This window comes from Homo sapiens, chromosome 7, assembly GCF_000001405.40.
Source record: "Homo sapiens chromosome 7, GRCh38.p14 Primary Assembly".
Classification (NCBI taxonomy): Eukaryota; Metazoa; Chordata; class Mammalia; order Primates; family Hominidae; genus Homo; species Homo sapiens.
The window spans coordinates 4,946,090-4,959,632 of record NC_000007.14 but is presented as its reverse complement, the minus strand read 5'-3'; the positions used below and the strand labels follow the sequence as shown (position 1 = coordinate 4,959,632).

Genomic DNA, 13,543 nt, shown 5'->3' with positions numbered 1-13,543 from the left:
GTCCCCTTCCCACTCCCCGACTCCCTCAGCCCCGCAACTTTGCATTCCACCCACCTGGCGCCCCCGCCTTCCCAATCCTTCCCACTCCCCCTACTACCACTTCCCGCTCCCCACCCCACCAACCCCCCACCTCCTGGCTTCCAGGGAGGGCACCGGGAAAAGGGGCCGGGGCCAGGGCCGCCCCAGGCCTGGGCGATGGGTGGCTCGCGCGCGCAGCCAGGACCCCCCCCGTCCCGCCCCCACTCCTTACGCCCACTTCCTCACCCCCACCTCTCCCACCCCCCCATCTCCCCACGACCCTCCTCCACCTCAGCGGAGGCGGCGGGGTCGCGGGAGGGAGGGGGCCGGGCTTAGGCGATTGGCAGCGCGAGCCCGGGAGCCCCCCCGTGCCCCCGCCCGCCCCGCCCCCGCCACCATCTGCTCGGGATTTGGCGTCGGCGGCTCCGGGCGCCTCCAGCTCCGGCTCGGGCTCCGGCTCCGGCTCCGGGCGCCGACCAGGTCCCCTTGGCCCCCGCCGCGCGCCCTCCAACCTGCTGCTGCCGCCGCCGCGCCCCCCAGGCTCTGCCAGCTACCCGCGCTCTGAGCCCGGGGCCAGATTCCCATGGAAGCGCCGCGATGTTCGCCCCCCGGCTGCTGGATTTCCAGAAGACGAAATACGCGAGGTGAGCGGCGGCCGCGGAGGTCCGCGGGGAGGGAGGGAGGGGCGCGCGGCGGCGGGGGCCGCGGAGGCCACCTTGGTTCTCGGGCCCCGCCGCCCGGAGCGCTAGAGGGGATCGGCGGACCCCTGACCCCCGCCCGAGAAAACCAGGACCCAGGCAGCCTCGTCTTCTCGCTGGGATGGAGTAACCGGGGCGCCCGCGCCTCCTCGCTGGGTGCCATTGGGCAAGTCGCTTCACTTCTCTGAACCTCATTTCCACGTTTGCAAAACGGGGGTTATGCGAGTCCCCGTGTCCTGGGTCGCCGTGAGGATTAAGCGAGCTGGTCCTTGCAGAGCACTTTGCGCAGCGCCTGGAGCCCAGGCCAGCTACGCTCGGGCAGTTACGCTCGGTCTCTCTTGGGCACTCTTGTTCATGGTAAAAGGCGTTGGTACCACCTCTGTCCACCCTTCCAGCAAGTCGGAGGAAAGAGTAAGTGCTCTTTTCAGATGGAGAAACTGAGGCTCGGGGTGCGGTGGGGGGAGGCACCTGTACATCCTGGTCTTTTCATAGTGTGAACTCCGTGGTCCCCTCAGAACCTCCGTCTCTTTTGTAAAATGGTGATTAACAGACATTGTGATATCTGAGTAGAAGTTAGGCTCCTGTTGCTTGGAATTCCAGTGAAGAAGGTGGGCGTGGGGAGGGGGTTTCTCCTTTTACATATCTTTAAGATTTTGTTGGGAGATGTGCTTGCCTGGAAGCTGGCATGAAAAATCCCCTCCTAAAGTTGCTCCTCGGTCCCCAGTGGTCTTCGGCGAGCACAGACCCGTCTGCTGGGAGCAGCCCGCGGGGGCCTCTTTGGAGGGGGCACCAGGCTGTCCTCCAGGTCACCTTTCCCCCTCTGCCACCTGGGGTCCCCTGCCTTCGTGAACAGAGGGGCCTGGTGTGTGCTGAGGCTCCAGTGGGTGGTGAGTGGGAGATGGGCTGGCAGTATTCTTCCTACTCACATCAGTGTGGCTTGTCACTTGCAACTGGTTGTTGAGAGTGCCCTGGTGCTCCTGAAGTCTCCACAAGTTCTGGTCATATTGAGCACAGCTTGACAAGAGGAGCTCAGGGCTAGGATGGTGTCCAGGGTAGGGAAGGCTGGCGGACAGGACGGAACCCTTCCTTCCCCCTCAGTCTCACCCTCTGTTTCCCCCTGGGGGACATGATGAGTCTATCTCTCCTAAATGGGGAATCCCACCCAGAGATGTGATGCACTTGGGAAGGACTTGAGGATAAGTTCCTGCGGATTGACTCTGTTGACCAGATTGTGTGACTGGACTGGACTTACTTTTTTTTTTTTTCTGAGATGGAGTCTCGCTCTTGTTGCCCAGGCTGGAGTGCAATGGCATGATCTCGGCCCACTGCAACCTCCACCTCCTGGTTTCAAGCGATTCTCCTGCTTCAGCCTTCCGAGTAGCTGGGACTACAGGCACCTGCCACCATGCCCGGCTAATTTTTTGTATTTTTAGTAGAGACTGGGGTTTCACCGCGTTAGCCAGGATGGTCTCAATCTCTTGACGTCGTGATCCCCCCGCCTCGGCCTCCCAAAGTGCTGGGATTACAGGCATGACCCACCGCCCCCGGCCTTTGTTTTTTTTCTTTGAGACAGGGTTTTGCTCTGTCACCCACACTAAGGCTGGAGTGCAGTGGCACAATCATGGTTCACTACAGCCTCAAATTCCTGGGCTTGAGCGATCCTCCTGCCTCAGCCTCAAGTAGCTGGGATTCCAGGTATGGACCACGACAATACCCAGATAATTTATATATATATATATATATTTTTTTTTTTGAGACAGTCTCACTCTGTTGCCGACTCTGGAGTGCGGTGGCGTGATCTCAGCTCACTGCAACCTCCACCTCCCGGGTTCAAGTGATTCACCCGCCTCAGCCTTCCGAGTAACTGGGACTACAGGCGCCTGCCACCAAGCCTGGCTAACTTTTGTATTTTTAATAGAGGCGGGGTCTTGCCATGTTGCCCAAGCTGGTCTTGAACTCCTGGGCTCAAGTGATCCTCTCACCTCGGCCTCCCAAAGTGGGCACTTGGACTTGTAAAGGCTGGCTCCAGGGGATTTTGTGAGACGTAAGTTGGTGGACTGTTCACGGGAAAGAGAGAAACCCTGGGTTTAAGGCTGCCGACGTGGACATGAAGGGAAGGAGCTCTGAAGTCTCAGCAACCAGCCCGGGCCTGTCCCACACCTGCTGTGTGACCTTGGTAGATGTCTCAACCTCTCTTGACCCCAGTGGGTTGATGTGTAAAGTCATGAGAGCTGGTCTAAATGGTCTCTAGATTTGGACACTTGCGCTGGCTGCTCTGGAATTGGAATAGGGATCTGGAGCTGGAGCACGGGCCAGTCTTTCATGCTTGGGCCAATGCAGCTTCTATGGGTGATGGGTCCAGGGAGGAAATGGATCGCATGGATTAGTTCTATTTCTGTTCCCTTCCTCGTTGTGCAGTCTTTACAACTGTACAGTCCACAAATTAGGTCTGTAGTAAAGGCTTCTTGATTAAGTGATTTTTTTTTTTTTTAAAGATAGGATCTACTCTATCACCCAGGCTGGAATGCAGTGGTGTGATCATAGCTCACTGCAGCCTCAAACTCCTAGGCAAACATGATTCTCCTGTCTCAGCCTCCTGAGTAGCTGGGACTACAGGTGTGCACCACCATGCCTGGCTAATTAAAAAAAAAGTATCTGTAAAGATGGGGTCTCACTATGTTGCCCAGGCTGGTCTTGAGCACCTAGGCTCAAGTGATCCTCCTGCCTCAGCCTCCTGAAGTGTTGGGATTACAGGCATGAGCCACTGCACCCAGCTGATTGAATGAATTTAATGGTATAATCCAGGGCTGTCCATGAGTAATATACAAGCCACAGATGTGGCTTTATTTTATTTATTTAGTTTTGAGTTGGAGTCTCACTCTGTCACCCAGGCTGGAGTGCAATGGCGCAATCTCTGCTCACTGCAACCTCCGCCTCCCAGGTTTAAGCGATTCTCCTGCCTCAGCCTCCCAAGTAGCTGGGACTACAGATGCCCGCAACCACGCCTGGCTAATTTTTGTATTTTTAGTAGAGGTAGGGTTTCACCATATTGGCCAGGCTGGTCTCGAACTCCTGACCTCAAATGATCCACCCACCTTGGCTTTCCAAAGTGCTGGGATTAGAGGAGTGAGCCACCACGCCCGGCCAGCTTTAAATTTTCTAGTAGACACTCAGTTTAATGTGTGCCTAATATTCCATCTTGTTATAAGAAAGTAAAAATAAACAGGTGAAATTATTATAATTTTTAGAATATATTTTAGTTAACTCTTTATATCCAAGGCATTATTATATCAGTATACAATGAATATGAACAAATTATTTAGGAGATATTTTACATTTTTTTCCCCACAAGTCTTCATCTAATGTGCATTTTATACTTACAGCCCGTCTGAATTTGGGCTAGTCAATTCCAAGTGCTCAATAACCACATGTAGATTGTGTCTACCGTATTGGTATCTTCTGTGGTGAGAGATGGGTATTCCAAATTAAATTCTGTGTGACATTGTAAAAAATGCTGTCCTTCTTGGAGTCTCTGTTTCTCAGCGGGTGGTAGGCCAGCTAACCCCCTAGGTTCTAACCTAGAGTCTTTGATGTAAGTAACCACCTGGTCACCTGGAATGGCTTTTCTACATCAAGAAACATTCATATCATAAAGCTGTAAGAATTAAGACAGTATGGTGTTGGTGCATGGCTGGGCAAATTGACGAATGGAGCAGAATAAAGAGGCCTGAAATAGATTCATGCATGTAAAGGTGTTTTAAGCTGTGTGTGGTAGCACGTGCCCGTAATCCCAGCTACACCTGAGGCCAAGGCAGGAAGGATCACTTGAGGCCAGGAGATTGAGAACACTCTGGGCAACATAGCAAGATCCCATCTCAACTTTTTAAAAGGCATTTTATTTTTACCAAAGATGGTGTTGCTGATAAACCTAGGCAAGGATGATCTATTGGATAAGTGGTACTGAGACAATTCATTATTCAGATGAGAACAGTGGAATAGGAACCCTACCTCACACCATACAGAAAAGACACTTTTAGAGGGATGAAAGATGTAAACATGAAATAAATTAAAAAGTTGAAAACTTTGAGAATCTATAAAAGAATAACTTTTGAACTTTGGGGTAAGGTTCTGAAGGCACATAAAGTACAAATCATAAAAAAAAGATTGATGAACTTGACTACATTAAAAATTAAGTTGCAGCCGGGCAAGGTGGCTTATGCCTGTAATCCCAACATTTTGGGAGGCCGAGGTGGGAGGAGCACCTGAGTCCGGGAGTTCAAGACCAGCTTGGGCAACATGGTGAAACCCCATCTCTACAAAAAATACAAACAATTAGCTGGGCATGGTGAAGTGTGCCTGTAGTCCCAGTTACTCAGGAGGCTAAGGTGGGAGGCTTGCTTGAGCCTGGGGATCGAGGCTGCAAATGAGCTGAGACTGAGCTCCTGCACTCCAGCCTGGGTGACAGAGGGAGACCCCGTCTCAAAAAAAGAAAAAAAAATTAAGTTTCTGTTAATCAAAAATGCCATGAAGAAAGTAGAAGACAAGCCACAGTGCAAAGGACATATTTGCAACACCTTTAACCAACAAGTAATTAATATCCAAAATATATAGAGAATAAGAAATAGAAAAAGACAAATAACCAAATAGAAAATGTAAAAGACACGGACAGGGATTTCTTGGAAGAGAACACAGGTGAGCATGTGAAGAACTGCTCCCTCGCAGTGGTAACCAAGACAATGCAAAATGAGATACCACTTTAATATCCAGTGCATAAGAAGCCTAACTGTCTGGGTGCAGTGGCTGATGCCTGTAACCCCAGTGCTTTGGGAGGCTGAGGTGCGAGGATCTCTGGAGGCCAGGAGTTTGAGACCAGCCTCTCCAAAAAGAAAAAAATTAGCTGGGCATGGTTGTGTGCTTGCGGTCCCAGCTACTCAGGAGGCTGAGGTGGGAGGATCCCTTGAGCCTGGGAGTTCAAGGCTGCAGTGAGCTATGATCGTGCCACTGCACTCAAGCCTGGGTGATAGAACAACTCCATCTCCAAAAAATACGATAAAAGGCAAAATGTAAATTTCAGATGAACAACTGTAAAAATTTAAAGTCCAAAGTAATTCAATAAAACCAAAATATTTTATGAAAATGAGACTGAGGCTGGGTGCGGTGGCTCACGCCTTTAATTCCAGCACTTTGGGAAGCCAAGGCAGGTGGATCACCTGAGGTCAGGAGTTCGAGACCAGCCTGACCAACATGGTGAAACCCTGTCTCTACTAAAAATACAAAAATTAGCCGGGTGTGGTGGCATGCACCTGTAGTCCCAGCTACTCAGGAGGCTGAGGCAGGAGAATTGCTTGAACTTGGGAGGCAGAGGTTGCAGTGAGCCAAGATCTTGCCACTGCACTCCAGCCTGGGCGATAGAGTGAGACTCCATCTTAAAAAAAAAAAAAGAGACTGAATCACACGAAAATGAAACCACTCAGGCTGAGGGTTCAACATCCATCTAGTTGCCAGTGTAAAGAATTGGAATTGGGTTTTATACAGGTCATGTGTAGCCCTACATCTGCAGGAGTTCAGGAGTTGTAGGAATGTGTTGATATTGATGGTGTTTCCAGCTGCCAAGTGCACCTGTTGGAAGTAGCCAGGCGGTGCTGACCAAGACAATTCCCTGCCCTCCTGGAGCTCACATTCTTCTGTGGGAAGCAGACAACAGATAATAACTATGTGATAACACTTCAGATAGGAATACGTCCAGGTGAGATGGGGAACTGTAGGGATGGAGGAAACAGGGATTAAGATGACTTCCTTGGCTGGGCATGGTGTATCATGCCTGTAATCCCGGTGGATTACTTGAGGCCAGGAGTTTGAGACCACCCTGACCATTATATCGAGACCATGTCTCTAAAAAACCAACTAAGCAAACAAAAAAACAAACAAAAAACAAAAAAAGGCCAGGTGTGGTGGCTCACGCCTTTAATCCCAACACTTTGGGAGGCCGAAGCAGGCAGATCACTTGAAGCCAGCCTGGCCAGCGTGGTGAACCCCTTCTCTACTAAAAATACAAAAATTAGCCAGGTGTGGTGGTGTGTGTCTGTAATCCCAGCTACTCGGGAGGCTGAGGCAGGAGAATTGCTTGAACCCAGGAGGCGGAGGCTGCGGTGATCCAGGATTGTGCCACTGCACTCCAGCCTGGGCGACAGAGCAAGACTCTGTCTCAAAAAAAAAAAAAAAAAAAATCTCATACGGAGCACGCAACCGAGATCCCCACATGTGCAGTTCACAATAGGGTTCATGCTCCTATGAGAATCTGAAAAACAAAAAAAGGATGCCTTCTTGGTAGGACTAACTGTGAGGAAATGCGTGCAGAGTGGTATACAGTAGGTGCCAAATAAACGATGGGCTGATACCATGCAGTGTTGGGCGGAGGTTCGGGCAGTGGCCGCCCGGCCTATGCCTGGGGGGAGCTGTTCTTTCAGCACCAGCAGGTCTCAGTGTGTTTCTTTCCTCCTTGACTGAAGAGCTGAGTTGACCAATATGCAGGGAGAAATAGGAAGTGAGATTTACCTGGAAACCCCCACTTCATCAGCAGTGCAGAAATGCATCTTCAGATTCATCCAGGCACAGCCCACCCTTCCAGGCTTGTCCCAAGTCCCGGGCCTTTTAGGATCCTTCAGGAATGAGCAGGGGATGGCCCCACATGTCCTTCAGCTTTGCACACCTCTCCCCAGCCAGACTGCAAGCCGCTGGGAGCAGGAGTAGGCTGGGGCCATTCAAACCCTCTTGTGTTCCCCAAGGGGCCAGCATGGTCTGGCGTGTGGTGGGCGTCCCTGGCTTGTCCACTACCCACAGCTGGTTAGTTGGTTCACTGATGCACTCAAAAACCTTGTTGAGGCCGAGCATGATGGCTCAAGCCTGTAGTCCCAGCACTTTGGGAGGCTGAGCTGGAAGATCACTAGAGCCCAGGAGTTCAAGACCAACCTGGATAACATGGTGAAACCCTGACTCTCCAAAAAAAGGCAAAAAATTAGCTGGGCATGGTAGCACGTACCTGTAGTCCCAGCTACTTGGAAGGCTGTGGCGGGAGGATTGCTTGAGCCCAGGAGTTTCAGACCAGTCTGGGCAACATAGCAAGACCCTGTCTGTACAAAAAATTTAAAAATTAGCCAGTTGTAGTGGCTCATGCCTGTAGTCCCAGCTACTTTGGAGGCTGAGATGGGAGGATCACCTGAGCCTAGGAGATTGAGGTTACAGTGAGCCATGATTGTGCCACTGCATTCCAGCCTGGGTGACAGAGGGAGACCTTGTCTCAGGAGGTGGGGTGGGGAAGAATGAGTAGTGCTAGATGCTGGATGGGCAGAAACCACAGGTGTCCATGACAGGACAGGACAAGCCTCGGAGGTTGCAGCATGTAAGTGGGCTCTTCAGGATGAATAGGAGTTTTCCAGGGTGAGGGAAGGACATTGAAGAATGAGGCCATTGGGGGGTGAAGTGCAGGGACCCAGGGCAGGGTCTGGTGAGGCTGCAACACAGGCTGGGCGTGGAGAGGATACTGAGCCTGGTCCCAACGAGTCCCGAGCACACCCGACCACTGTTCCATGGGCTCTATGGCACCATTAAGGGCTTTTAAACTGAGGGTTTAAAAGCAGTTAAACCGTCTGGATTTGGGCTCCAGTGGGAAGAAAATAAAGGGACAGAAGCTACTTTTGAGGCTGCCATCATAGTTATCAAGGGAGTTGCTTTCTTGGGATTCCAAGGATAGGGCTGCAGGCAGGCTGGAGCTGTAGGTGCCTCATGGGGTTGGGGCTGCCCTTCACCTCCTGGACTGTGGGAGTTGCCTGTGGACATCAGGCCCCTAGACCTACAAACCCTTCAGGGCACTCTCTTATGCAATGAGATCAAAATAAGGAAATTTAGGCCGGGCGCTGTGGCTCACGCCTGTAATCCCAGCAATTTGGGAGGCTGAGGCGGGTGGGTCATCTGAGGTCAAGAGTTCAAGACCAGCCTGGCCAAGATGGTGAAACCCTGTCTCTACTAAAAATGCAAAATTAACTGGACATGGTGGTGCATGCCTGTAATCCCAGCTACTTAAGAGGCTGAGGCACGAGAATTGCTTGAATCCGGGAGGCAGAGGGTGCAGTGAGCTGAGATCACGCCACTGCACTCTAGCCTGCTGGGCGACAGAGTGAGACTCCATCTCAAAAAAAAAAAAAAAAGAAGGAAAGAAATTTAGCTTTAAAAAGGAAGGAAATTCTGGCACACGCGGTAGCCTGGATGAACCACAAGGACATTCATTATGCTAAATGAAATCAGCCCCAAGGGGACAAATACTGTATGATTCCACTTATCTGAGGTCCCTCGAGGAGTCCAATCCATAGAGACAGGAAGTGGAGTGGTGGCTGCCAGAGGCAGGTGAGGGTGGGTAGGGAATGAAGAATTAGTGTTTAATAGGGACAGGGTTTCAGTTTTGCAAGATAAAAAGAGTTCTGGAGATGGATGGTGGTGACGGTGGTATAAGAAGGTGAATGTGGGGCTGGGTGCAGTGGCTCACGCCTGTAATCCCAACACTTTGGAAGGCCGAGGCAGGCGGACCACCTGAGGTAGGGAGTTCAAGACCAGACTGACCAACGTGGAGAAACCCCATCTCTACTAAAATTACAAAATTAGCCAGGCCTGGTGGTGCATGCCTGTAATCCCAGCTACTCAGGAGACTGAGGCAGGAGAATCGCTTGAACCCAGGAGGTGGAGGTTGTGGTGAGCTGAGATTGCCCATCGCACTCCAGCCTGGGCAACAGAGTGAGACTCCATCTCTCACACACACAACACACACACACACACACACACACACAAAAGAAGGTGAATGTACTTAATGACAGCAAATTGTATGCTTAAAAATGGTTAGGATAGTACATTTGATGTGTGTTTTACCACAGTGAAAAAAATTATTCTAAAAATACCTAGCCGGAAATGGTAACGTGGGCAGGTCATTTGTTAAATGTGAGAGAGGAGATGGGGGGAAAAGGAAATTTAACATTGATGCAAAATTATGATCAAATTGTCTTAGCCTGTTCACGCTACTCTTATAAAATGCCATAGTACTGTTCAGGCATAAAAAGACTGATATTCTGGCCGGGCACAGTGGCTCATGCCTGTAATCCCAGCACTTTGGGAGGCTGAGGCGGGTGGATCAGGAGTTCGAGACCATCCTGGCCAATATGGTGAAACCCCGTCTCTACAAAAAATACAAAAATTAGCCAGGTGTGGTGGCGGGTGCCTGTAGTCCCAGCTACTCGGGAGGCTGAGGCAGGAGAATTGCTTGAACCTTGGAAGCAGAGGTTGCAGTGAGCCGAGATTGCACCATTGCACTCCAGCGTGGCAAGAGAGTGAGACTCCATCTAAAAAAAAAAAAGACTGAGATTCTGTCATTTGCAGCAACATGGATGGAACTGGAGATCATTCTATTAAGTGAAATAAGCCAGGCACAGAAAGACAAACATTGCATGTTCTCACTTATTTGTGGGATCAAAAAATCAAAACAGTTGAACTCTTGGACACAGAGAGTAGAAGGATGGTTACCAGAGGCTGGGAAGGGGAGTGGGCAGGTTGGGGGGAGGTTGGGATGGTTAAGGGGTACCAAAAAATAGTTAGTATGAATAAGACCTAATATTTGATAGCAAGCAGGGTGACAATAGTTAATAATTTAATAATAATAATTTTTTGAGACAGAGTCTCACTCTATTGCCCAGGCTAGAGTACAGCTGTGTGATCTCGGCTCACTGCAACCTTTGCCTCCCAGGCTCAAGTGATTCTCCTTCCTCAGCGTCCCGAGTAGCTGGGGTTATAGGTGTGCACCACTGCGCCCAGCTAATTTTTCTATTTTTAGTAGAGATGGGTTTTTCCATGTTGGCTCAGCTCACTGCAACCATCTTTTGTACAAAAGAATACAAAAACTAGTTAGGCATGGTGGTGAAACCCTGTAGTCCCAGCTGCTCTGGAGGCCAAGGTGGGAGGATCACCTGAGCTTGGGAGATGGAGGCTGTGTGAGCCGTGACTGTGCCACTACATTTTAGCCTAGACTAGGTGGCTTATAAACCATAGAAATTTATAGAACCTAAAAAGAATTTTGGAAAGAAAAAAACACAAAAATGTATTTCCTACAATTCTGGAGGCTGGAAGTCAAGATCAAAGTGTCAGCACAGTCAGATTTGTTCCCAGGTGGTAGATGGCAGACTTCTTATAGACTTGGCAGTAAGAGCTCTCTGGCCTCTTCTTCTAAGGGCACTAATCCCATTTGTGAGGGCTCCACCCTCATGACCTTGTCATTTTCCAGAGGCCCCGCCTCCTAATACTATCACATTGAGGAGTGAGGATTTCAACATGTGGATTTCTTTTTTTTTTTTTCGGTGAGACGGAGTCTCGCTCTTGTCATTCAGTCTGGAGTGCAGTGGCGCGATCTTGGCTCACTGCAACCTCTGCCTCCCAGGTTCAAGTGATTCTCCTGCCTCAGCCTCCCGAGTAGCTGGTACTACAGGCATGTGCGCCACCACGTCCAGCTAATTTTTGTATTTTTAGAAGAGATGGGGATCCCCCCCAAGGCTGGTCTCTAACTCCTGGCCTCAGGTGATCTGCCTGCCTCAGTCTCCCAAAGTGCTGGGATGACAGGTGTGAGCTACCACACCCGGCCTCAACATGTGGATTTTGAGATGATGCCAACATGCAGTTCATAGCACTTGTATAGAGTTTGATATGGTTTGGATCTGTGTCTCTGCCCCAATCTCCTATTCAGTTGTAATCCCCGATGTTGGATGTGGGGCATGGTGGGAGCTGATTGGATCATGGGGGCGGTTTCTCATGAATGGTTTAGCAGTATCCCCCTTGGTTGAGATAGTGAATGAGTTCTTGTGAGATCTGGTCGTTAAAAAGTGTGTAGTGGCCGGGCGCGGTGGCTCACGCCTGTAATCCCAGCACTTTGGGAGGCTGAGGTGGGTGGATCACCAGGTCGGGAGATCAAGACCATCCTGGCTAACACGGTGAAACCCTGTCTCTACTAAAAATACAAAAAATTAGCCAGGTGTGGAGGCACTCCCTGTAATCCCAGATACTCAGGAGGCTGAGGCAGGAAAATCGCTTGAACCCGGGAGGTGGAGTTTGCAGTGAGCTGATATCGCACCACTGTGCTCCAGCCTGGGCAACAGAGCAAAATTCTGTCTCAAAAAAAAAAAAAAAAAAAAAAAAAGGCCAGGTGCAGTCGCTCACACCTGTAATCACAACACTTTGGGAGGCTGGGACAGGCAGATCACCAGGTCAGGAGATTGAGACCATCCTGGCTAACATGGTGAAACCCCGTCTCTACTAAAAATACAAAAAAGTAGCTGGGCCTGGAGGCATGCGCCTGTAATCCCAGATACTCGGGAGGCTGAGGCAGGAGAATCGCTTGAACCCGGGAGGTGGAGGTTGCAGTGAGCTGAGATCCCACCACTGCACTCCAGCCTGTGCAACAGAGCGAGACCCTGTCTCAAAAAAAAAAAAAGTGCATAGCACCCCTCTTCCTTCTCTCCCTTCCTCCTGCTCCCATGTAAGACACCTGCTCCCCCTTTGCTTTCTGCCATGATTGGGAACTTCCTGAGTCTTCCCCAGAAGCAGAAGCCGCCATGCTTCCTGTACAGCCTGCAGAATCATGAACCAACTAAACCGCTTTTCTCTTTCTTTTTTCTTTTGTTTGAGACGGAGTCTTGCTCTGTCACCCAGGCTGGAGTGCAGTGGCGCCATCTCAGCTTACTGCAAACTCCACCTCCCGAGTTCAAGCGATTCTCCTGCCTCAGCCTCTGGAGTAGCTGAGATTACAAGCATGCACCACCACACCAAGGTAATTTTTGTATTTTCAGTAGAGATGGGGTTTCACCAAGTTGGCCACGTTGGTCTTGAACTCCTGACCTCAGGTGATCGGCCCATCTCGGTCTCCCAAAGTGCTGGGATTACAGGTATGAGCCACCACACCCAGCCTAAACTCCTTTTCTTTATGAATTACCCAGTCTCAGGTATTTCTTTCTAGTAGTGTGGCACAAGCCTGTAGTCCCAGCTACTGGGGAGGATCCGTTGAGCCCAGGAATTCGAGGCTGCAGTGAGCTATGATTGCACCACTGCACTCCAGCTTGGGCAACAGAACCAGACCCTGTCTCTAAAAATAAGAAGGAAGAAAGGCCAGGAGGATTATAGGCCATATGGTGTACTTCATCTTACTGGGAGATATCTGGTAGACCTGCCACCCGTGGTGCTAGGTTGATCCATGAGGGCTCTAAGGTAACCCCTGGGATGAGAGATACTGAGGTCCTTTTCAGCATCCTATTACTCAGCAGCCTCTCACCTGGTGGTCTTAGCATCCATTGGTTATCATTGTCTGAATCCTTTGTTTCACTCGCGGTTGCAATTTTATGCTTTTTCAAGATCCTCCCTTAGTGAAGACTCTGCACCCCCACTTCCCTTCAGCATCACTGGACTCAGCTTTTTAAAGTACTTGGATTTTCATTATTATCTTAGATAAAGCCAAGGTTTCATTTCTTTCAGAGAAAGGCCGCAGAGGGAAACAAATTGATCCGTCCATGTTTGGAGCATGGCTATTCTTAGGATGCGGGGATGGTGTTTCGACTCTGTGAAGCTCCTGGGATTGTGTGCACGGGGTGGGGTGTGCGTGTGTGTGCGTGTATGTGTGCATGTGTGTGCATGCGTGTGTGTGGGTGTGCGCGCGTGTGTGTGCATGTGTGCAGGTGTGCGCGCGGGTGTGGGTGTGCGTGCGTGTGCAGGTGTGTGCGTGCGTGTGCGCGTGTGCATGCGTGTGTGTG

The 13,543-nt window shown here is 50.5% G+C and overlaps 1 protein-coding gene across 4 annotated transcripts in view; it reads left to right on the top strand.

Annotated features, from left to right (window-relative positions):
• Positions 1-445: 445 nt before the first annotated feature.
• The window catches only part of MMD2 (monocyte to macrophage differentiation associated 2), a 66,943-nt gene continuing 53,845 nt past the window's right edge, over positions 446-13,543 (top strand). For all 4 annotated transcript variants that reach the window (NR_072989.2, NM_198403.4, NM_001270375.2 and 1 more), the window contains exon 1: positions 446-662. Coding sequence is in view for 3 of the 4 variants with exons in the window: in NM_198403.4 (NP_940685.3) it covers positions 616-662 (47 nt within the window). In the remaining variant the exon portion in view is untranslated. The remainder of the gene's footprint in view (positions 663-13,543) is intronic.